The following is a 26,690-nucleotide window of genomic DNA, read 5'->3' as shown; positions in this document are numbered from 1 at the left end:
TCCTGAGTAAGAGATAAAAAAGAAAATCATTGTGGTTGTTGTTGCTGATTATAACATTTGTGTAAATGCCTTGTCCTTAACCATATGTGGAAATGGGCACATCATGCTTGTGAGCAGGGGAATTGAGCTTGTTTCATTGTTATAAAATATTCAGAAATATGACTGGGGCTTTATAGCTGTCTTCAGTTTCAAATATGTGTTTTTACAATATGTTTATCTGTGTTGTTTCTACCTCTGCCCTTTTCTAGGTTTCCCAGGCTGGAGATTTGTTAATTGAAGTATATGTAGAAAGGAAGGAACCCGACTGTAGTATTATAATTCGGGTAAGTTCTAAAGGTGGATGTAAAGAGGACTGTTGGAAGTCACAAATGTTAGCATTATTTTATATATTTTGAATTTTCCATTATTATATTTTATATTACCTCTCCAGTTCAAACGACTGACAACATAGACTTTTTATAGTGATATCCCCCAGGAATTCTGTATTTTGATCGTTTGGAAAGAGAACATCTTATGTGCTTTGGATTACGTGTTAAGATTTTCTTCAAGTTCTGGAAAATACCCCAAGCTTAAATACTTGTTCCTCCCCTTCCTAGCTTCCTAACGTTAGACAAGTTATTTGCTCTGAGCCTCAGTCTTCTCACCTGTAAAATTAGGAAAAATCACAGTATTACATCATAGCATTGATGTGAGGATTCAATAAGATAATGCATGTAAAACCCTTAGCACATTGCTCAGCATGTAAGTGTTTAATAAATAACTATTACTACTAGTGCTGTTATAATTAATAATAATCTCTCACCCTTGTTTTCTATACTTTAGCATCCAGTCTTCCAATTGATTTGAATATAAGTCTGGGATATTTATTTGGATAACTCTTTTCTCCCTTGAGAGTACTGATCATTTGTGATGAATTAAAAATAGATGTTTGACATGCTACTATATTTAGTAATTTGTCTGCCTTACATATAGTAACTGATATTTCAGGTCGCTATTTGGTAAGACTGCTTTATTTGTATGAACAGTAGACATTCTGCCATGTAACAGAAATTTGGCTTTAGCTACTTATCTTTTTTAAAGTCCAGGATTAAACAGTCACAACATTAGATATATTTGGACTTAAGTTAAATATATATTGATTTTAAGTTTTGTGTTTCTAATGATTATGAATTGTAACTATACACCATTAAGTACATTACTTAGTACATGAAGCTGAAATATTAATACTATAATTATAGGTTTTGTCTTTATGAGGCATTTGCCTTGCCACTCCTTGGCCATGTCATATTTCTTATACTGAATGCATAATGCTGATCATAAGAGATGTGAGGAACTAGTAAAGACCAATTAGCACAAGTTCATCACTAATGCTGGAGAAGGTATTCAAAGCTTGTGACTTAAATCTATACAAAGGCTCTTTAATAGCGCATTTTAATTTTATCTTCTAAAGTCACAACAGAAGTTATAATTGAGCCATGTTCTTATGTTATCCGGTGTGTTTAGATAAAGGACTTTCCAGTTTCACCTATAGTAACTCCAAATGCTCTTTAGAAAATAACAAAAACTATTTAAAACCAATTACTTAGGTTTTAATGCTTATGATTCTGCAAAACCCTTTAGTTACATTTATCTCTGCTAATTATTACCTCAACCCATGGAGGTAGATGAAGCAGGTGATGTTCCGAGTTTATAAGAATGGAAACTGGGAAGTAAGAATACTAAGGCCAGAAATACAAACCTGGGTCATCATAATCTCGACTGGACGTTCAGTATACTGATCTGTATATTCTGTAGAGTAATAATTTCCCAAGTGTGGAGTGTTAGGTGTTACTAAAGAGGAGCTTTTGGTCTCTCTTGATGCAAGGAATAGAGTTCTGGTTTTCCTGTTTCAGACCAAGGTGCTTCCTGCTGCCTGTTTCACAAGTGGGTTTCTCAATAATTTATTATTTTTTAAAGAAAGTGCTAGCCTTAAAAATATTGTTTGTTCATGCATATCAACAGCATCACTGAAATGATTCAACTACTCCATACTGCTTGGTGTTCTCTGTTATTCCTAGATGCTATAACAAGTTTTTTTCTTTTAAGTTTATATTTCTTTGGGCTTTTCTAAATAGAAAATAGTGGACTTCATTGTATAATTATATTCCAAAAAAGCACTAAATTTCATAAAATACAAAAGGTAGACTTTGCGAGTTACCTGCAGTGAAATAGGTTTTTTGTCATTTATGTATGTGCAATATGCTTATGGGTAATTATGGTCAAGAGAAATGGAAACAAATACATTTCTAAAGAACTTTTAGTAGAGACATCCTTTTACTGAAAATGTGCAAATCAAGTTGCAACTGCAGTATTATAATGTTTAAAACATCATTATGACTAAATTCTAATTGAAGAAAGCCATTTTGCTTTTGGCCAGCATGCACTTAAGATTGGCATAAGCAAAAACAAAAAGAAACAAATAAAAAATTCCAAAAGTCCCTGAAGAGGTGATGTGCTTATACAGTGGCCTCAGGCTTTGGGACTTTCGTAGAACCGACCCCCAGGTTGGCATTGCAGACTCTGACATCTGCCCTGGAATCCTGGTTCCAGCATACTTTGGTATCCCACCATCTGTCACTTGGCATGGCAGGGCACACCACAGACTACCAAGACCCTGGAGCTTTTTGGCATGACCGATAGCCATTGACTGTGTATAATTTAGAATCTAGGCTGAATAAACCAAGTCACTCTACACTCTTAATTATAGAACTGTTGAGTAAAAATTTTACATGTAGATGACTGTTGGATTCATTGTCTGGCGAAGGTCATTCCGAATGTAATTAGGTACATTCTTTCCTTCTGAGTGGTCTAATTGCTCAGTAAGAGATTAAAAAATTCTCTTATGTCTATATTGTGATCTCTTTTTGTACTTATGTACATTTTATGGAAAAGATCTGAACATGCTGTTTTCTGTATGGGATTAGGGAAGCTGGTTTTAACCATGCTCAAAATAAATTCAAGATATCATTAAATGGTGGATGGGGAATATTATTGACCTAGCATAAGGCTACTTCTGTGTCTAACACGTTTTTTGAAAAAATATTACTTCTCTTACAGATATCTCCTGTGATGGAAGCAGAAGAATTAACTAATGATATATTAGCGATAAAAAATATTATTCCTACAAAAGGTGATATTTGGGCCACATTTGAAGTCATTGAAAATGAAGAGCTAGGTAAGTGATTTTTATGCTAGGGATTCTTAAATTACTTATACTGTAAAAAGTACTCTTTAAGACAAGACTTTATAAACATTTTATGTCTTAACATCTTGTTATGATTTTTTTTACCTTAGTGCATGTATTAATATATGTTTGAGGTTGCCTTTTTATGATTTTACTCATCAAAATAATTATATTACCTTATTGACTATAAAAATACAGTGCAAGACTTTAGGTACCGCTTTTGCTGCCTCAGAAAAGAAGACCTTTGTTTATAAGGACAAGCGATTTGATTTGGCACAATATTCTGAGTGGTATGAATTACTGTTATTTAACAAGAACAAGGAATGTTGATTTAAAATATTGTTTATTATATAAAATAATTTTAAGAGCAGCAGAAGCTTCATTTTTTATTTTTCTTTTTTCTATCTTTAGTGAATCACATATTTTGTTGTCTTTCATCTCCAAGATGCCTAGGGATGAAGGGAGCATTTAAAGCACCTTGACTACCCCAACAGTCAAGTGCTGAATGAGCTTAACATTTTAATAACACCATGTGGTTTCAAAGACCTCCAGAAAAAAAAATAATACACAGAATGTCTTTGTACCTTCACCATCTGTCTAGCTGCTACCTACTAAGGTCTTGGGACACTTTGGAGTATAGCTGCCAAACTGCCAAAAGGAAAATCTTGCCACCCGCAAGCTTAGGATAAAAATTAAAATTCAATGTTTAAAATACCCCATAGTGTGTTATTAGGAGTGTTGCAATAAGTGATAAAATGAAACGGGATTGTCAGTACTTTGTCTTTATGTTTTTATTCCTGTATTATGATTGTGCACAATTCTTTAAAATTTAAAATGTTTCAATGTTATTTTTAAATATACATTGCCAAGATCTAATGACTATGGTACTTTGATGTCAGTTCACAGTGTCTCCCTCAATCGGTCTCAATCCTCCTCGTGCACAGAAATACTCTGGCAAATGACTCCTATGACCTCCCAACTGTCAAGTTCCCAGATTCACATCTGGGTTCACTTTACCTAACCTTCTGTGGCATTTATTGTTAATGACTATTCCCTTTTTATTTGATGATCTTCACTCTGTTTTCCATACTGCCTGGATTCTCTTTATGATTTTCTGTTCATTTTACCTCTTTTGTAGATTCTCCTTATTCTGTTTTCTAAACATTGGGTTTTCCTTGCTGCAACATCCTTTGCCATCTTTTCTCATGTTACCTGTTTTATTTTTTATTATTATTAGATAATCTCTTCTATTTTTTGTGCTTGGCTAACATGTATTAACTGGTGTTTCCCAAATATACCTTTGTTCTTCCTCCATCTGGCTCACACTCTTACCTCTTTTAAAACCTAGACTAAAATTTTCATTGTACTTTGTCTCATTTCTCTTTATAGTACTTATTACCTTGATTTGTACTTGTCTCTTTTGATGGGAGTTCCTTGGAAAGTAGGAGCAATTCTGTTTTTTTTTTTTAAATCTCTAATGTCTAGCATAGTGCCTAGTATATAGGAGCCATAAAATCTATTGAATAAGTGAGGCATGATTTTGTATGACCCTGTGGTACAAGGGTGACAAAGTTTTTATTTTTTGTCTTTGTTTAATTTTAAAGAATGGGTCACTTGGTTACCAGCTTTGTTATATTTGTGCGTAAAGATTAACTGTCAGCATTATTGCCAGAAATATCTTTCCACATTACAAATTGGTTTACATTGTTCCACCACATAAAACCCTTTATTTCCTCATTGCATATTTATCCTTCACAGTCTAAGTGAAATGTCTCTTCCTTCATGATGTTCACACTGATGTCTTATAATTTGTTTAAAAATCTATAATACTGTATACTGTATGACTTATAGAATAGCAATGTGTATATACCTGGTTCTGCCCTAGACTATACTTTTTTTAGGGCATTTACCGTGTATTTCAGGCTTTATATTTTTGACTACTTCTCATAGTGCAGTTGATGTGGATCAAACTCCACAAAAGCCTTTTCAACTGAAGTGGGGCAAAAAAGTAGATGCATTCTGGACCTGAGTGATATGGATTGTGGTTCCTGGTATAGATGCATCCAAATGTGGGAGGCACATAGACAGAGATCTCTGCCTGTAGATTAGGAACCATGAAGAGATCTCAGGGCCCTGTTTAGTGCTTAGAAAGATGATTGTCTCCTACACGCTTCTATTTCTGTTGCTTTTTAAAAGTTTGATAGCAGAATACTGAATTGTGGGTTTAGGAGTAGGCATCCCCTCCCTACCTCCGTTGCCCTCTCAAAGTTTGAGTACACTAAAGTATATCTGTGTGCCACTGGAGCTCTGTATCTCTGGCTACTGGCCATCCTAAGAGGAGCAAGCAGGTGGATGAGGATAGAAAGGAATTATATATAGCTAGAAGAGGGGTTGCATTATACCAAGAAACATTGTTTTGAAATTTTATCTTGAGCAATCAAGGGATGTTTACCCTCAGAATGACTAATTATAAACTTGAATGTGATAATTAGTATATACAATGCTAAGACTGAATTGGATTTTTTCTTATTTTTACTTCTAATTAAAATAAAGTTGTCTTTATGCCAAGATATCTAAAAAACTAGGAGTCATCAAGTTTTGATTTGTGAATGTGTCAATGTATAAACAAAGAAATGTGTCATGTACACCTAGAAAGAATACACTTAGAGTTAAGAATTCAAATTTGGCATGGTCTTAATGTTTTGTCAACTGTACAAGTAGAAATTGCAGTAAGGGAAAACCTCCCAGAGGAATAATGGTAGGAGAGCAACAGAAGGGCCTGTGGTTATGTGGGTTTACTGAAGCCAGTGGAACATGTGTGTACCACATGTTGAAGGCTTTATATCTAGTAACATGCAGAGAAGATAAAGTGAAATATGAGAAGGAGATAAAAGTAAAGGCATAGGTAGTAAGAAGGTTGTAGTTGAGAAGAATGTCAGCCAGGCAGTTGGTGTGTTTGCTAATGTAAACATAAATCCTCCAAGTAATGCAGTAAAAAAATGAATGAATGAATATATAAATTTATAAATATGTAAGCCAGAATGCTAGATTTTAAGTATCTGTATATTTTAAACCAGGAGTTCTCTATATTCAGTATTTCCTTTGTATAATAAATGTTTGGTAATCTTCCCTTTACTGTCCTGAGATAACCTATTGTACTCATTAAAAATTAATACCCTAATTAAAATATAAAAATAAAGGGAACATATGCATTATTAGCATGTAAATGCTGGGAAACTCCTATATGCCTGAAGATGATGCAAATAGATTCTTAAACCTGTAAATGGAATCACCATGGATGTGGCAGCTACTAATTCAGATTGCTATAATCATGTACATTTTTTTTCACTTAAATGATATTTCGCCATTACTGTCGTTGGTGAGATGGTGCACAACTTTTCAGGAAGTTCTGACTAAAACAGCAGTCATCTTTTCTTCTTTATATGGTAGTCAGATTCGTGGGAAAATATAACCATTTAAAATATTTTAACATTTTTGATGTTTTCATTTTATATTACATTGGTATGAAATATACATTAAGCTGAGTTAGATTCTCTTCCATAAGAGCCAGTCATCCAAAATATGCTATTATTTTAATGCTTTACCTTAAATCCGAACCCATCCTCTGCCAATGTAGACCCCTTTACCTTCTAGGTTTTTCACATCTTGAAAGAAATTTAATTGCTGAAGGGCCTCATTTAAATAGGCTTCACTGAGAGATCCAAGTTTGAGAATCAGTTACTTTTTATGCAGTACTATCAGAAAAAGATGGTCTTATTTCTTCCTCATACCTACTATGATGTGGAAGATCTGTTTATTTTATTAGGATTCTTTCTAGCTCTTCTGACTGACACATAAACTGCTGTTATCTTCTGATTATGTGGACAGGGCAGACGTTGTTTTTCACTTTGCATATGTTACCTAAGAAAACAAATTGCATGTGAGAAAACCATCATGGGAAGGCTTACATATGTGTACAGAATAAAATTAACTATAATAGTTAAGATTTTGGGCTTTAAAGTTAGATAGGTTTGGGATGCACATCTCTGTTCCTCACCTTAACCAGCCATGTGATGTGAGGCAAGGGGCAAAACCTTTGTGATCCTTAGGTTTCCTTACATGTGAAATATGAATAATAATATCTAGTGAAGCATGTTATTGTGAAGTTTGAAAGTGATAACTGATTTAAAGCATCCAGTATATATAATGGCTGATACATAATTGTTATTCCATAAATGGCAACCGTTATTGGGATCAATAGTATCTCAAAGCTTGCAAGTAGTAGGCTCAAAAGGGGGAGGGGGAGGGATAGCATTAGGTGATATACCTAATGTAAATGATGAGTTAATGGGTGCAGCACACCAACATGGCACATGTATACATATGTAACAAACCTGTACTTTGTGCCCATGTACCCTAGAACTTAAAGAATAATTTAAAAATATATTTAAAGCCATACATAAAGGGAGTGCTTATTTTATAATTAGTCTTACCTTCAAATATATCTAACTTCAATTAGAAGACAACAAACTTATGAGTTAGTTAACAGTTGAATTATAACATTGAAAAATTGTGGGCAGTTATGATCTTTTCCCAATCTTTTAGAAAATTATTTGAAGAAAAGTAATATTGACATAGCACAAAAGATTTTATCTGGCTTTATGATGACTCATTTTGTCTGTGAGTCTTTCTGTTAATATGTTTTTTTGATTTATGGGCCATCAAAGAAAATAATGCAATAATTTGTCAAATATTTATTGAGCATTTATTATATATTCAATACTATGCTGTGAATAGGGGATATATAATAGTAAACAAGATGTATATTTGTCTTCAGGATGTGTGGCCTAGTGGATTTTTTCTTTCCTTCTTTATTCTTGCCATTATTATAATGAGTTAGCTTGCTCCAATAAGCACAGAATGCAGAATTGGATTTCTCTTTACTGGATAGGAAGCAAACATCTGGTAATTTACATTGGAAACAGACAATTTATTTTCTTATCTGAAACTAGGAATTGTTGATGACTTCTGATATGATATGTTCATAGCAGGGGAAACCAGTATTAGGGAGGATGTGATATATTTATTTAAACTTGTGATTTTATTATCAGTTACATTATGATGGATCATACAAGTATGATGCTTTTGATATGCTCTTTCCTGTTTGTCTTTAGCCTCATTACTTTAACCGAAAACAAAAAGCTCAGGTGGTATGTGCTTTATGTTTTGGATGGTGTGAAAGAGTTGAATTGACTTTTACATGGCTACAACACTAGGAAAGCAGCATTGACATCTTCATGTCACAGCTTCTTTTCTTATTATTTTCAATTATGCTATTTTCAGTGCACTGAGAAAAAGTTTGAATTTCCTTTATTCCAGCATATGTTTCTGTTGCTACATTTTATTAACTGATTGACATATTTTGATCATCAAAAACTTTTCTGTGAGACTTTGATTGTAATTCTAAAACTTGTTCTTTTTAACTCTATGCTAAGAATATATGCTGCATTTAAAATTATGATTGCCTAAATCAAAATGTGTATGGATGAATATTCTTCAGAGAGATATATTGAAGATGTCATGTAATTTCTTGCTAGTTGGCCTATTATGTCAATAGTTAGTCTATAATATTGACACATCATGTTTTTTATATTCCCACTAGTAGTTAAATATAGACTCTTCAGTACTATTTTGTAAATGATTTTAGTGTTTTCTATAGAAGTTACATTTTATAATTTTGTATTGATTATGAAAATATTAGCTATGAGGTATTTACTAGTGTTGATCCAAAATTATGAGTTTGATCTTGTTGGGATAAACAAAGGATTATGATTAATTTATGATTATTATTTAGTAACGGACAATATTAAGTTTGTTAGTCCTTTTAAAACCATTTAATTGCATATAAAAATAAGAAGGTTTCCCTAAACAAACCAGTATGTTATCTACAAAAGAGGTTAGAGGATGGGGATGGTGGTTCATGCCTGTTCATCCCACCACTTTGGGAGGCAGTGGTGGGAGGGTAGCCTGAGCTCAGAAGTTTGAGGCTACAGTGAGCTAGGATTGCATCACTGCACTCCAGCCTAGGTGACAGGGTGAAACCCTGTCTCAAAATAATAATAATAATAATAATGTATTGTACAAGGGGTAGAATTTATTATACAAAAGGTAGAATTCTGAGATTTTTATCAAAAGTACTTCTGATTTTTAAAAATAGTTCAGTAACAGGTATTCCTGCATGATTAATTTATATAGTAAATGTTATTATGTGCTTAATAATTTTCTAGGTCTTAGGATATCTTTTACATAGTCATAGTGCTATTACTGTATAATATAACATAAGATATGATTGTGTATAATGTTGCCTACAGATGTTTTCAAATGGATTTTTTAAAATTTATGATTATAAAATAAAAAATTGTTATCCTCATATATTTTCCATTTGATTTGGAATTTATTTTTTACAGAGCGTCCTCTTCACTACAAGGAAAATGTACTGGAGCAGGTGCTTCGGTGGAGTTCATTAGCTGAACCTGGCTCTGCTTACCTGGTGGTGAAGAGATTCTTAACCGCTGACACAATTAAACACTGCAGTGGTAGGTGTCATTACTTCACATTGCAGCTATGATTGAAAATTCAAGTGGTTAAAGGGTAATTAATATGGCACAAGTAATATTTGAAAATGTGAAAAACGAGTAGCTAGATACAGAATGAACTGAGATAGTACATATATAAGAAAGAAGAATATATGGACAGGAAGATATTTTCCCAATGTGTTGCTCTGTGGTAATAGTTGGCTAATTTGATTGTACCAAGTTCAGGTTTTTGGAAATAATAGTTTGTTTTTAAAGGTTGTTTACCATGCTTATGCTTATGTATTTTCCTCAATTTTTAGACTGAGGGCAAGTCATCTCTGTGAATTACATTTACATTAGAAAGCTTTCTAGGCATTAAAGGAATGCTAATTATATAGGCTCTGAGATAGAGTGCTTGCTATATATCTCACATTTTTGTGATGAAGTTGGAAAATAAATACTTACAAAATAAAATACTTCCAGTAAGAATGCTTCCCATCCAACTGGAAGGAGATAGTGCTCATGTACGGTTAATTAAGTAAGTTAGCTAGCACAGTGAACTATATAAGACCATTTCTGAACCTCTATGAGATCTCAGAAAATTTTTATTTTGAAACTTAATTATTCTTCTGTTGTGTTGTTATCAACTGAAAGATCAAAAAAAAGCCAGGATTATATACAATCCAACTCAATAAGCTAAGGATTGAAATTTATGATTACTTTTATGATTAATATAAATAATAACCATTATTATTTCTTAATTGCATACCAGCAGAGCTCAACACACACCAAAGCTCATTTAAAGTTTTTTTTAACTTCCTTGTAAGTTATATTACCTTTTGAATTTTACAAATGAAGGGAAGAGAAACTCAGAGAACTTAAGTAATTTGCCTTATATTATTCAGTTACTAAGTATTGAATTGAAGAACTGATTGGTGTTCCTCCTAATTTTAATCATGTGAAAAAAGGTGGGGAGGATGGTACAGCTCTTCAGTGCTGTAAACTACTCAGTATCATTGCAGATTCTCTAGTTAATAGTCATAATTCAGAGCTCTTAATTGTACCAAAGCTTATCATATAAACTTCTGATTTAATACACTGTCTTTTATATCTTACATACTTTTACTTACGTGAAAGTACTTTTACAAAATGCAAGTAGTATAACAACTTTTATGTCATTGTGTTCTTATAAGCATCTAAAAAGCCAAAACAGATACTAACTCTTTATACTGTAGAAATGTAGCCTTTCCGAGACCTTTATCCTGTTTGAAATTTTTTCATGCTCTTACATATGATTCTGACCATATACTGCCTGTGCCTTCTTAATGTTTGCAATAGGATTTCTCTGTACTGATGTGAATGCACATGTATGAATGCACATGTCATAAAGTAGTGGCTTTCAGCTAGGAATGATTTCCCCTCCCTCCCCTCCCCGCCCACAAGACATGGAACATACAATGTCTTAAGACATTTCTGACTGTCACAACTTGGAGATTGGGTAGGGAGGCAGGGCTTCTGGTATTTAGTGGGTACAGACCAAGGGTCACTGCTGATGTTGAGAAACCCTAATTTAGATAATCTGTGATATCTGTTCTAATTCTTTATCTTTCTGTTGAAATTTTTATTTGTTTCTTTTCTTCTGATATTCCTCTGCAATATCTCTAATTCTCCATGTTGCAACATGTTTAAAACCTACACCTAGACATAATACCTTTGCTGTTGTGTGAATGCTAGTAGGTTGGCTATATGAATAAAAATGGATAAGAATTAGATCCTAAAAGGCTATGTTATAAGTGAAGGTTCTGTATGTCTGAGGGTGCGGGTAACCCAAAACAAGTTCACCATTAAATGCTATTAATCTTCGGGGCATGGCTGGGGGTGGGTGGCAAACAACCCAACAAGGTGTAGATTGCGCTGGTTTAGAGCAGTCATATCTGGGTAAAACCTTTGTTGTGTAAGGGCAAGAAGAAATGGTACAGTGACAGCTGGTACGTTGGCTGTAACCACAAACTGGGTAGGAAGATTTGGTGTTTTCGTGATGTTCCACCTATCCCATTACATCTTCTAGATGGAGTTATGAGTGTGTCCTTCTGTTATAAAAGCATCAAGCCTCTGTAAGATCTAGACAAAGAATCTTGTAGAAAAAAAGCTAGAGAAGAACTAGAGAAGCAAAGCAGAAGAAAGCAAGCTGGAGGCTTAAGTGATGTTTCAGAGATTTGGATGAAATATTCTTTGGTTTGTGTTGTTGTTGTTGTTTGTTTTGAGATGGAGTCTTGCTGTGTCACCTAGGCTAGAGTGCCACCGGTGGCGTGATCTCAGCTTACTGCAACCTCTGCCTCCCAGGTTCAAGTGATTCTCCTACCTCAGCCTCTTATGTAGCTGGTATTATAGGTGCTCATCACAATGCCTGTCTATTTTTTGTATTTTTATTGGAGACTGGCTTTCACCATGTTAGCCAGGCTGGTCTCGAATTGCTGACCTCAAGTGATCCACCTGCCTTGACCTCCCAAGGATGAAATATTCTTTGGAGTAAAATGTCAGTAAACTTCTGTGTCACTCTCTTACCCACGTCACATCTCTAACAGGGTGGGAGCCATAAAACCTACCTCTGTCCCTGAACTATCCCTACTACCTCATTTAATCCAACAAATATGCATCTTGTTATTGTACCAGGAACTTTGCATGAAAAAAATAGTGATTTAAAGGAAAACCATCAGCAAATACATTAATTGGATCATTTCATATTTGTAGTTATGTAGTCTGGTCAAAAATAAGAGAACCTATAAAATAAATGTCTAAAGTACTCTTATTTTCTAGCCCATAAAATTTTTATAAGTATTGAATTAGAGTTTGATTTATATTCAGATTGTAAAAGCAAAATAATCTCTTTCATTATGGTTGGTTCTCCATTTGTTTGAATTGAAGCTTGCCCTTTTAAGGAATCTGTAATATTTTTAAAAAATCAATTTCTTAAGTCGTGATTTTTTCTTATAGTTATGACTTAGAGCAGCCTCAACTTTATTAATACCTCTTATGGGGCATACTTTGTGATAGACTTCTGATAATTTTGGTATTCAGTCTCATTTATTTTTGTCTTGGAAAATGTCTCCTAAGTCAATCACAACGACTACCTACTCCAGAGTTATTGCTCCATTTCATTACCTCTGCTACACCTTAAAATTGGGATCTAAAAGGGAAATAACGAAAATAAATCAAATATGATTTCTCTGTCATTGTGTTAGCAGATAAACTAGAATCATCTCAGAAATACTCAACTGTTCTTCAAAGAAAAATGGGAATAATGTTAAAGATTTATTTTCCTTTCTTAAGAATTTCTTATTCTAACCTGGGGCCAAGTAGAAATCATCAGAATTTGAAAAAAAGGTGGGGGAGCAGTTGGTTGCAACCACATTTTTTCTCAGTAACAAATAGCTAATATGTTAACATTTTGTTAAAACATAGAGTTGCCCTATAACATCCCTTGTACCTTACACCCCCACATTAGATACCTAATTGCCACAAATTTTACTCTGTCCCTACATTTATAATTTCTGTCTGTCTATCTATGGCTTGCATTTCATTCGTTTTAGGAGTTTTTTTCCTGATATGTAGAACAAATTATAACCATATACTTTGCTTGACGTTATGTTTTCACCACTTCCTTTTAACGCGAGAATGTTATATAAAAAATTTGCTAAAATTAAGGGGTTTTAATTTTCTCAATTTTCTTTCTTTATCTGAACTATTTAAAATGTGGACTTCACACATAAGTAAGAATATATTTTAGAATCTAGCACTTAATTTCTGCTCATTCATTTAAGGTAAGGAGGTAACATAATTTACTTTTATAGAGTTAGATAGGAGTAAGTGTGTTTTTTGTTGCCTCTACTTAAAAATTATTTGTGTTTTTCAAAGGCATTTGATTTCTTAGGAACATTTTGTGCCATTGCCATTATTGTAAAAAAGAGCTAACTAATTTGAAAACAAAGGTAATAGTCCTCAATTTTTTTCTATTCCATATATTATGACTGAACTATTAAGATAGGGAGAATGAAACTTCATTTACATTGCTATTTAGACAGTGTCATAGCTTACCTAATTAAACCATTATTTATTATTATTATTATATATTATACTGAACTTCAACATATCTATCACAAGCAAACCATAAATGTATAGCTTCTGTAAGGCTCCAGAATAAATAATCTCAAGTTGCGTAAGTCTTATTTTAAGCACTAAAGTTTTTTGAAAATTATCCCAATAGAATATGATACATGAGAATGAAATTTTAATGATCTAAATGGGAGAGAAATACTTATATATAAAGATATAAGATGTAACTCAAATGCATATTTCTTTGAATTTCTAAGTTTAGATTGCTGTATATGACAGATGCTATGGAATTAAATTTGCATTAGAATAGTGTAATTCAAAATGCAACTGCTTCAAGTAAATTCAGACCTGGAAAGCTGAGCCATTCACTATCTATGAACTTAAAAAAAAAGACAATTTCAGCAAATATAATACAAATCCATAAATTTACCTAGCTGATATAATTTACATTTCACTCCCCATCATGTTTTCTTAAAGCCAAAGATGTACAAGATATTAAAAGTAAGACCTAGGCCACTTAAATTGGAAATTTTTCTTTTTTTTTTGAAATTGATGATAGTCACTGATATTTACTATGGAGTACCAATTTCCTGACATTTTCTAAAATATAATTCTGTGGTGAGAAACCCTATTGGTAAATTTGTATTAACTCTCTGTATCATGCAGTAATCTATAGAAAATTTAAGGTATTTAAATGTAAGAGTTTTGTTAAACATTGTCTATACCCAGAAAGAACAGAAATTTTAAATGTATGACAACTGTTGAAATATTAGAGTACAAACAGCATGAAGTAATAGACTACTCTAGGTCAGGATGTTTATGAAGAGCTTTCAATCACAGAAAAGTAGTTCAACTGGGTAATTGTAGACATCTCTTCTTTCACTGAATGTGTCTTATTCAAGGAAATATCATTTCTTAGTTTTTCTTGTGCATGCTATCCTTCTTTAACAAGGCTATATTTTACTCTTACTCACTAAAAGTACATATTGAATAAACTTTAAAAATATATAAATATATGAAACAGTTTATAACTGAGCAAGTACTGACCAAATTTTAGAGGACTGCCAACTCACTTTTGTCTAGGTAGTTAGGGAATGCTTTCCAGAGTATATATCATCAGATCATTACCATGAAAGCTGGATTGTAGTTCTTGGTATTTTGGTTTGGATAACTCCTGGGATATTAAGATAGGGAGACTAGAAGAGCTTGCTGGTTGGGAGTGATGGATGGAGCCACAGAATTCAGTTTTGGACGTGCTGAGCTTTAAGAGTCTGACGTGTGTTTGAGGATATATGTCTAGAAGGGAACTAAATACCTAAACCTAAGAGCTCATTGTGTGGAAAGTGGTTTTAGCCTTGGCAGAATACTAAGTCATGCAATTTTAGTGTTAGAGTAAGAATATCAGAGATACAACACAAGCATTTAAAGAACAGATGTAGCAAAAGAGGCCTTGTGAAGGAACAATCAGAAAAGTTTCAAGAAAGAGAGCAATGCCACGTAAATTGTCAAAGGAGTAATTTTTAGGAAAAAAGAGTGCTTAACAGTGTAAAATGATACATGAAACCAAGAAAGGCACCTGGACACGTATTGTTATTGTGGTTGATAGTGATGGTGGTCATGGTAATCATGACTATTACTTAGAAGTATCCCAGGATAGGAGACAGAATTTCATGTTAGATATTAAGAGACCTGAATTCATATTCTAGCATGTTGCTTTCTAATCTTGTCACATAATTGTGAGCCACAATTTTCACATTTGTCAATAAGATGATATAACCTGTCTTCCCTACTTTGCAAAGTTGCATGAGAATCACATGAAAGAAAATATATCTGAATCACTGATTTCAGTGATCAGAAAACATATCTGATCACTGAAAACTCCAGTGCTATCTCTGCATTTATTAACAGTATGCTGAAAATTATACATTCATTGAATATAAACTAAATATATCACACTAAATTATATTTTAGAAATGTTTATTATAATTCAATGTAATAATGAAAACAGTATAGGAAAACAATTTTCTGAATTCTGCAATTTGCTGCATTAGTAGTAAAATAGCAAAAAAAAAAAAACTCTGGTACTTTTGTATTAAATCCTGTTCCAATAGTAACTATATTTATAATTTAACTATTTATAAATAATTTAATGATAGAAGGATGTCAACAGGCTACTTGTTCTGTTAACCACTGCTACTTCAATACAGTCTTCCTTCAGTATCCATGGGGAGGTGGGTTACAGGACACTACCACGTCTCCCCCCTGCCACCTGCTTGTCGTGGATACCAAAATCTGCAGATGCTCAAGTCCCTTATATCAAATGGCAGAGTATCTGCATGTAATCTACGCACATCCTTCCCATACTTTCAATCATCTGTTTATTTATAATACCTAATGCAATGTAAATGCTATGCAAATAGCTATGCTATGTTTTTTTCTGTTTGTATTTTAAATTGTTATTTTTGGTTTTTCAAACATTTTTTGATGTGCTATTGGTTGAATTGACAGATGCGGCATCCATGGATACAGAGGGCCAACCGTATAAATAACATAAAGGAGAATAGATTGGAGTGAAGGGGGCATACTTGGCTTATCCTAAGAAATAGATTACTTTCTTGAAGTGTCACAGTGTGTCTATATCTGTTAGCCTTAAAAAGATGCTCCCCCATTAGTGTTCTAAAAATAAATCTTCAAGTGTTAATTAAAAAAAGAAAGTAAGAAAGAAAGAAGTAACATACTTTCAAGCAGTGATTATGCCCAGTTTGGTGTCTTCTCATGTAAATTTCACCAAAGTGCATTTTGAGTGAATATCATACAGTGAATGAAATATATGAGTAATTCTCCCTCATCAAAATTATAAAAAAAATACATCTATACAATCAATTCTGAAGAAAAGAAAATATGCATAATTTTGAATTTGGAAGGACTTTTTAGATGTTATCCTGCAAATATTGCAAAATTACTTGATCTTGGCATAATTTCAAGGGAGTTGCTTCTCATGGAAACTGCCCATTTGTGCCCTTCATCACTTAGAGTACATGGGACAGGTAGAACTTGGAACAAATAATTTTTTAAGATAAGGCACAGCTCTGAAGAAATAGTCTTTGCCAGCAAGAGAAGAAGAGAGACACATGCAGACCACGAAAAATAGATCAATTTGTTGTGTATTTCCTTGTCACTGATCAGATAATATGTGAGAGATAACAATAGTTCATAGTTACTGTGAATTTACTATGTGCGCTGGGCTAAATGCTTTACTTACATTATTTTATGTCATCTTCCTACTGTCTTAGGGTTACTGCTACTTACAAATGGAGAAACTGGGATGTAGCGGTATTACATAACTCTTTCAAGGCGACCTGCTGATAAGTGGAGAAACAGGCATTATAGTCAAGATCGCTCCATATCCAGCTTATATATTCTGTCCTAAACCCCTTACTATCCTGAAATCAAGGATAAATCAGATATGAGGTTTTTAGACTCTTAGAAACTAAATCTATAAGTCATCAGACTTTTGTAAGGGTAGTTGTTTCTGTAGTGTTTGCCTTAGATTCTGCAACACAGAAAAATTATGTCCTCCCTCCATTAATTAAACAAGGACTTACATTCTTCTTGTTCTCTGCCAAGCTCTATTCTGAGCAATTTATATACCACATCCACTGGGTAAGTACTGTATGTATTCTCATTTTGCAGATAAGAGAATTGAGATTTAGAGATTACTGTCTGCGATCTAGCAGAGAATGTGGTTGTCATTCAAGCCCAGGCAGTCTAGCGCCAGAATGTGCTCTTAGTCACCGTATTGTTTCAGCTCTTGCCTAGATTGAAGAAGATTTAAGTCTACATTATTTTAAACAGGAAATACAAAATGAATATGTACTTAAGAGAGGTGAAGCTGTTACAATGTTTGTTTGTCACAAACCAGGGAAGGCTCAGAGGAGTAAAGAGTAGCTCAAATAAAAGTGAATTTTCTCTTCCTTTATAGCTTGTATGACAGGCGTACGATATTGTAATGGGAGTAACTATTAGATTATATTTTCTGTGGATTTCTTGTAGTCAGGTCAACCCAGCACTGTAGATAAGGCCCATGCCCTTCAAGAAGTAGAAATATTTTCTTTCAAAATACAGTGTTGGCAATAGCAAATATATGGAAGTAACCCAAATACTCATCAACGATAGACTGGATAAAGAAAATGTGGTACATATACACCATGGAATACTATGCAGCTATAAAAAGGAATGAGATCATGTCCATAGCAGGGACACAGATGGAGCTGGAAGTTGTTATCCTCGGCAAACTAACACGGGAACAGAAAACCAGACACCGCATGTTCTCGCTTATAAGTGGGAGCCGAATGATGAGAACATATGGACACATGGGGTGGGGGAACAACACACACCAGGGCCTGTCCATGGGGAGGGGAGGGTAGGGGGAGGGAACACATCAGGAAGAACAGCTAATGGGTACTTACATTAATACCTAGGGGTTGGGTTGATCTGTGCAGCAAACCACCATGGCACATGTTTACTATGTAACAAATCTGCACATCCTGCACATGTACCCCAGAACTTAAATGTTGATAAATAAAAAAAAGAGTTAAATTATGAAGCAAATATGATGTTTCATGAATTCAAGGGTGATATTACATCTTGGAGTTTAGTGGCATGAGAGAAAAAAATATGGACTGAAGTAGTTGGGAGAATCTTCATGGATGAGTTAGGTCCAGAAGTAGGAATCAAATTTGTACAGAATCAAAGAAAACAGGATTTCTCTCAAGATCAATCAAGTGATTAACTTGAGTCATACCACAGAGACAAGGATTGGTTTTCCAAATAGTGTATTATGATCAATTGAACTTAAATATTATATTTTAGTTTAATAATTTACAGAGATGTATAGGAGTTGTCCATTTATTTCATGTTTTAAAAGTCAGGAAGAGGAGTGTAGGCTTTTGGCTTTAGGAAGGTAAGGCTTTAATCATTAGAACAGTAGGGCTCTGGACAGGGCTTTTATAAAATCATGGAGACTGTGTTTTCATAACAAGAATCTGCAGTTGTATGTTGGAGCCATTAGAAAGGTAGGACATGGAGTTAGAGAATTCTGAAATCCAAGGATTAGAGAGAAAAGGAAGTGTGTAGGGTGATAACAATGGGAATGAAGTGGAATTGAGTCCCAAAGAGAATTGCTGAAAGAATAATGATTGATTGCTAGCTGCCTGGACATGGAGGGTAAAGCGGGGGATATATATCTGAGAAATGCCATTCCTGGGTGTATGTTTCTCTCTCCTCTTCCCCTCAACCCCAGCCTCCTCCACCTATCAATTATTCTGTTGGAATTTGGGGCTGGTGGTTTGGAGATAACTATTTTTGTACTAAAAAACTGAGATTTTCAAATGGCTTAGAAAAACTATTTTTTTTTTGGAGGTGCGAGCTTTTCAGTTTCATTGCCTGGTTACATGATATGTCTGTTCTGCTTAAATAAATTTGGCCATTCTGCTTTGTTTCCTACGTGTGACTTTTAAAGAGCTTTTCTAAATTAATAACAAGTTGATAGCTCAGTATAACTTACAATACATGTTTGTTTTGTTACCCGCAGTTTTAATTTTAAAGACCTTTCAATAAACTCCAACCTATCCTTTCTCATCCTAGCAACTACCAAGAATAAGGGAGGGTTTTATGATTCAGTAGAGGTAACAGTATGCTGTAATTTGATTGGAATGAAAGATCAAAAGGTAGTAAATGAAATAGTACCTGTTAATGTGCATCCTAGGATTTATCTCTGGGAGAATTTAGTGCTTTGGGGAGTGCATTAAACTTTCAAACCTGTTATACTCACACGAAAACAATAGATGGTTTTCCCTACTAGCAAGGGAGCTTTCTGTCTAGCAAGAGGTCAAGGGAGTAAAAAGTATGAGTGAAGTACCCCAAAGTTGAGAGTCCAACCAGTACCTGAACAGTTTGGAAGAATGAATTACTGGAAGCCATTCAATTCATGACCTTCATTTTGTTACATATAGAGTTACACACAGTGTACCCCAACGTGTGTAGCTTTATTTTGGCCTTTAATTGGTGGCTTTCTACTTATTTTAACATCTTGGGAACAGACAGGAATTTGGTTTTGAGAGCTTTTAGAAAGTCTTTTAAATCATAATATTTATCATAGAGCTTCATATTTCAAAGTTTTTTTTGCTCTTCCCTCATCCTTAGCATATATTCCTTTCAAAACTTTCATCCTGAGTCCCTTAATAGGGTGCACGCTGAGGTTTGTACTCAATATACTCAATCACATACAATGATTGTTAAAGTAAATGTTACTATTTAAACGATATTTAAAATTTAAACAATATTTTCCCCTAAGTCTGTTTTTTATGACTATGAGTTGTTTAATACGAGACATAGGATTATTTCTTGGTAAAAATGGAAAGGTTTATTAATTTGAGCAAAAATGTAAATGAAAAGTACTGTCAGAAGGTGTGAATGGATTTTACTGACTTAAGCAATTTAAATATCTATATTTCACAACTTGATTATAACTTGCTTTTAAAAATACCTATTTGTAAACCAACAAGGCATTATAGATGCCTTTCTTGACTCTCTTGTTCTAAACCAGCTATATGACCAAGTCCATACAATGTTTAACAAATTGCTTACTCTACTTCTTAGCTATAAAAATCCTTTACAATATTTCTCTGTGGAATTGAATATTAAGACATTGTACCAGAAGACAAATTTTAGCAGTATATTTTTCAGTAATTATTTAAAAGTCACGAAGTACCTAAAAAGAATCTATTAGTATGACGGTGTGATCAATAAAATACTGTCTGAGGTCAGTATGTGTATCATGAAAACTATTGGGTTTGTTATATATGTTTATTCATGGTTAGGATCAGTAATGTGATTAATCCTGGGCACTTCTGCTTCCAAGTGGTCATTCCATGCTCATATATTTGAGTTGTAAGCAACTATTTGTATTTTTAACTTTTGTTCTCTTATGCTAATTTTAGGTGTGAACATTTGTGTATTTGCTGCAATAGTAAATGTTTTCCCCAAACAGATTAAGGGTTGTTGGGTTTAAGACTACTTTTTTCCTTTTTCTTTTTTTTTTTTTTTTTTGAGAGAGTCTCACTCTGCCGCCCAGACTGGAATGCACTGGCACAATCTAGACTCACTTCAACCTCCGCCTCTCAGGTTCAGATGATTCTCATGCCTCAGCCTCCTGAGTAGCTGGTACTACAGTGGCACACCACCACGCCTGGCTAATTTTTTGTATTTTTAGTAGAGATGGGGTTTCACCTTGTTAGCCAGGCTGGTCTCAAGCTCTTGACCTCAGATGATCCACCTGCCCCATCCTCCCAAAGTGCTGGGATTACAGATATGAGCCACCGTGCCTGGAAAGACTAATTTTTTTTTCTAAAGTTTTTATTTTATAAATTTTAGAAATGATGCATGGATATTTAAAGTTCTATCACCTTAATATCAGAAAGGTATTAAACTGATAGACCTGATACAGTGTTCTGCCATACATCTTGTGTGTGCGTTATCCTGTGTAAGGCCCACAACAATCCTTCCGGATAGGTGTCATTACTCTTGTTTTACAGGAAAAGCAGAAGCTGACAGCATAATGACCATATCATGGCTATTTGGCTTGAGGTTTCTCTTTCTTTTTATTGTTCTTCGGTTCTCAAGTAAGCAGTTGAATATGTATCTGGATTTCAGGGGAAAGTTTTAGACTGGAGATATACTGACAAATTTGTGCATGATAAAAAACAAATACAAATTTGATGTTCTCACAAAATGTTTTTGTGTTACAAAAATTAGTTGAAATGATTTCTACGTGTGGCACATTGTCAGTTTTGCCCATGAAATACAATTGCTGTTAAAGGAGCTACCCTTTTTTATGCACACAGAGCCTTTTATTCATAAGCTACAACAAATTACAGTACACAGGAGCACAAAGTGTATTGTGCTTTTTGGTTTTGCTTTGTATTTATTTCTGCTAGTCTTCAATCCCCTTTTCTATCACTTACTAATTTTTATGTCTTTGGGCAGGTCATTATAATTCTCTGAATCTTATTTTCTGGCTTGTAAAACCAGATCAAAAATTATCTAACTTGAATGTCACAGAATAGGAATCCCAGAAACACATTTAGCCATTTAGAACATGCTAAAAATAAAATGTAAAAATAAGGAGAAAAAGATGAATCATTATAACAATTTAAGTGGAAAATTTAGGGCATGCATTCAAACTATAGAACAACATCTATCGCTGGTGGCTCTGCCTCCTCTTCTTCCACCCTGCAAGGACTGGGCCATGGGCGGAAAATTGTGGGGCAAAGGAGGGGAGCTTTTCTGACATAAGCCAGAGTTTTCCTGGGAAGGAAAGAATATCTCAGTGTCTGATGCCCCTGTCAATACAAATTAATCCAAAAATAGATGAATCTGACATGTCTTTATACATCACACATCATCAAAAATGGATTTTAATGACAAACATTTTGTTAGATATTTTTGATCTTTTAATACCTGTGATAGCACCTTCCCAGTCTAGCTAGGTGGACCTGACTTTGAATTCTGATGACAGCACTCTTTAACTGTGTGCCTTGGATAAGTTTCATAATTATATCAAACCTGTTTCTACATCTATAAAATTATATTAATTGTGATTAATTTACCTAAAGTGTGGTTCTGAGCCTTTAATGAGGCATTCATGGAAAGGGCTAGCACAGTGCTTGCCTCGTGCTCCACATACACTAGAGGTGATTCTATGAGTTGTTCACTTAAAGGGTGCTCAGATTATTACCATTGTGTTAACACTTCATGCCTTCACATATTCTTTCTTTCTGAAATATCCTTTGCCTTTTCCCTTTCTGTTGTGTTCCTGGGAATTCTATAATTTTATTTGTCCCTCTACCACAGTGCCAAACACAATGCTTGATAGTAAGAAAAAGTACATTTTTGATGGAAGAATGAATAAAGAAACTACTGAACTAAAGGCAAAGAGATTGAACAGGTTCTTGGTGGAGAGGAGTTTCCCCTAAGGCTATTCTTGAGAAGTGAGAGTCAACAAGCTTTTTTCCGTAAAAGGCCTAGAGTTAATGTTTTAGGTTTTGTAAGCCATAAGGTCTCTGAAACAACTACTCAGCTCTGTCCCTGTATCATGTTCGCAGCCACAGATAGTACATAATGTGAGGCTGCATTCCAATAAAACTTTATTTTTATAGGACTAATGAATTTCATGTAATTTTCATGTGTCATCAAACTTTTGAGAAATTTTTTTCAACCATTTAAAAATGTAAAAATTATTCTTAGCTCATGGGCCATATAAAAATAAGCAGAGGGTTGGATTTGGCCTGCAGCCATAATTTGCCAATCTCTGAGCTACAAAAATAACGTGTAAACCAAACTGGAGGGAATTCTGGCTTATTAGTCAATGTCCATTAGACCCATCATAATAGTAGGAAAAGGATATTATGGAAATGTGAGGGGGCTTCTCTAGTGATATGTTAGGTTTAAACTTGGACTCAATTATTGTAAAATTCCTCAGTTTCTTCTCTGAGGTAGCAATGTCTAGAAAAGAACATGCATTTAGAATTGGGGTTTTACCAAATATCTTATGTTCTGACTTACAGGTGAGAGCTAAACCTTGGGTACACACAGACATGAATACGGAAACAGTAGACACTGGGGACTCCAAACGGAAGGAGGAGGATAAGGGCTGAAAAAACGTTCTGTCAGGTGTTATGTTTGCTGTCTGGGTGACTTGATCAATGGAACCCCAAACCTCAGCGTTACACACCGTTGTAACAAACCTGCACATGTACCCCTGAATCCAAAATACAATTTTTTTTTAAGTTGAGTTTTAATCTCCTTCAATTAGCTCTGCAGCCTTGGGAAATCTGCTTAACCTTTCTAAGCCTTAGTATTATCGTGTGTAAAATGAACATAATAATCACAATTTTTTTAGTGTTGTTATTAGAGAGTGTATATAATGTGTGGATGTCTAATAGGTAATCAATAAATTGTAGCAATTATTGCATGTTTAGATTTAGTTTTTCAAGTATGTTATTTCTCAAATCAATTCTGTTTTCTCCTGTTATTTCTTTTTTTAAAAAAAATAACTTTTAAGTTCAGGGGTACATGCGCAGGTTTGTTACATAGGTAAACTTGGGTCATGGGGGTGTGTTGTGCAGATTATTTCATCACCCAGATATTAAGCCTAGTACCTATCAGTTACTTTTCCTGATTCTCTCCTTCCCCCCACCCTCCGCCTTCCAATAGGCCCCAGTGTGTGTTGTTCCCCTCTATGTGTCCACGTGTTCTCATCATTTAGCTCCTACTTATAAGTGAGCACAGGTGGCACTTGGTTTTTGGTTCCTGCCTTAGTTTGCTAAGGATAATGGCCTCCAGCTCCATCATGTCCCTGCAAAGGACATGATCTTATTCCTTTTTATGGCCACATAATACTCCATGATGTAAATGTACCGTATTTTCTTTATTCAGTCTATCATTGATGGGTAAATGTTCTACCTTAGCAGTTTTGCCTTTCTTACCCTTGCCTGTTTCACATTTATAAAAATTTCTTTAATGCCTTAAAAATTTGTGGATTTGAGTCAGAATTCTTAAAGGTGTTTCCTTTTTTATCTGCGCATTTGCATTGTTTATACCAGTGGGGTTCAAAAGAAATATAATACAAGCCACATATGTAATTATAAATTGTATAGTAGCCACATTAGAAAAAAGTAAAAAGAAACAGGTAAAATTACCAGTATGTTTTATTTAATATCACATATCCAATATCCAAAATACATTTCAATATGTAATTAATATTTTAAAAATTGTGATATATTCTTTTTTATTATTTTATTTGAGACAGAGTTTCTCTCTGTTACCCAGGCTGGAGTGCAATGGCACAGTCTCAGCTCACTGCAACCTCTGCCTCCTGGGTTCAAGCTATTCTCCTGCCTCAACCTCCTCCAGTGGCTCGGACTACAGGCATGTGCCACCACACCTGGCTGATTTTTGTATTTTTAGTAGAGACGGGTTTCCCCATGTTGGCCAGGCTGGTCTTGAACTCCTGACCTCAGATAATCCGCCCGCCTCGGCCTCCCAAAGTGCTAGGATTACAGGTGTGAGCCACTGCGCCCAGCCGATATATATTTTTTCATATAAAGTCTTTAAAATTTAGTAGAAACTTTATACTTATAGCACCTCTCAACCTATACTAACCACATTTTGTGTGATTTCTAGCCTGTGGCTACTTGAACAGTCCAGGCAGGCCCATACATGATAAATAGCTATACTTCAGACACATGGTATTCCCGGAAGTTCACCTTAGACTTTAGCGGTAGTAAACAAGTTCTTATTTTTTCTATATGACAATATAGAAATGTTTTGTATTGTATTTCAAATAAGTAAAAACGTACCCAACTCACAAAAGTAATGCTGTACTTTACAGACCGGAGTACACTGGGAAGCATCAAAGAAGGAATCTTGAAAATCAAAGAAGAACCATCCAAAATACTATCTGGAAATAAGTTTCAAGACCGGTATTTTGTTTTACGAGATGGGTTTCTCTTTCTTTACAAGGATGTGAAGGTATAGTATTTGAACATGCGTACATTTTTATTTGTGTGGGTATTAACATTTGTATTTTATGCTACTGTCAGCCATCTCTCTTGGAAGTCACTGCCTGTAGTATATAAAATGCATGGTAAGCTGATGATTTGCTTCAGCCTATGGTATAAGATATTAATGCACTCAGTAACACAGTGAATAATTTTATAAGGCCTTTTTAGGCACCTCAGATTTTGAGGGGCAGTAAATGACTTAAGCCCTGAAGAAAAGTCTAATATGTATTATAAATCAACATCTCAGTCAATAAAATTAATAGAGAATGTGTGATACCCTAAAATAAAAGGCTTCAGATTAGCTACTGGAAATTAATAAAAGGTGCAATAAAATGACCAAACCCAAAAGTTAAAATAAATCTTATTAGTATCTTTCCTATATGGTTGAATGAATTGACTTATTTTTAATTTCATATGTATTAATGTAATCTTATTGATATATTCCGTCTAATTTATTTCCCTAAAAGATCTTATTAAATAATTGTGGAGTGGATAAGAGAATTAGAGATATAAAAGAGGGAGTAGATAAATGATGTAGCTATAAAAATATTGAACTTAACATCAGAAAATCTCATCTCTGTGAAGAGCTGGTTACATGAATAAGTAACTTAACCTCTCAACCTCAGTATCCAAATCTGTAATTTAAGATAGTATGAGTTCTGCATGTCAGGTTGTTTTAATGCTTAAAAAATAATATATGATTTTTTTTATATTCTCTGGGTGCAGGTTACACCAGTATGTTCACTTTATTAAAATTCACGGAGCTAATATGTATGATTTGTGTACTTTTTATATGTGTATTATATATACACTGCAATTTTTAAAAAGCATTAGGATAAAAAAAGTAAAACAAATGTGCACAGGCCCCACCTCCAGGGATTTGGTTTTTATAAGACTGCGACAGGTTAACAGCATTTTTCTTTAATTTGTTGAAATTTTTTTTTGGTTTTTAAGTTCAGGAGTGCAAGTGAAAATTTGTTAGATAGGTAAACTTGAGTCATGGGGATTGGTTTTACACATTATTTCATCACTTAGGTATTAAGCCTAGTGCTTATTAGTTGTTTTTTCTAATCCTCTACGCTCCACCAACCAAAAGGCCCCAGTGGGTGTTGTTCCCCTCTATGTGTCCATGTGTTCTCATCATTTAGCTCCCAC

General features: G+C 34.2%; 1 protein-coding gene across 16 annotated transcripts in view; it reads left to right on the top strand.

The window, feature by feature from the left end:
* Nucleotides 1-26,690, top strand: part of ARAP2 (ArfGAP with RhoGAP domain, ankyrin repeat and PH domain 2) — a 239,381-nt gene that overhangs the window by 127,401 nt on the left and 85,290 nt on the right. For all 16 annotated transcript variants that reach the window (XR_007096351.1, XR_007096352.1, XR_007096353.1 and 13 more), the window contains 4 exons: nucleotides 249-323; nucleotides 3,097-3,214; nucleotides 9,691-9,819; nucleotides 25,364-25,503. Coding sequence is in view for 6 of the 16 variants with exons in the window: in XM_047449575.1 (XP_047305531.1) it covers nucleotides 249-323; nucleotides 3,097-3,214; nucleotides 9,691-9,819; nucleotides 25,364-25,503 (462 nt within the window). In the remaining 10 variants the exon portion in view is untranslated. The remainder of the gene's footprint in view (nucleotides 1-248; nucleotides 324-3,096; nucleotides 3,215-9,690; nucleotides 9,820-25,363; nucleotides 25,504-26,690) is intronic.

The sequence above is a fragment of the Homo sapiens genome, chromosome 4 (assembly GCF_000001405.40).
Source record: "Homo sapiens chromosome 4, GRCh38.p14 Primary Assembly".
Classification (NCBI taxonomy): Eukaryota; Metazoa; Chordata; class Mammalia; order Primates; family Hominidae; genus Homo; species Homo sapiens.
Note: the sequence above shows the minus strand (reverse complement) of the source record. Positions and strands in the feature narration are given on the sequence as shown.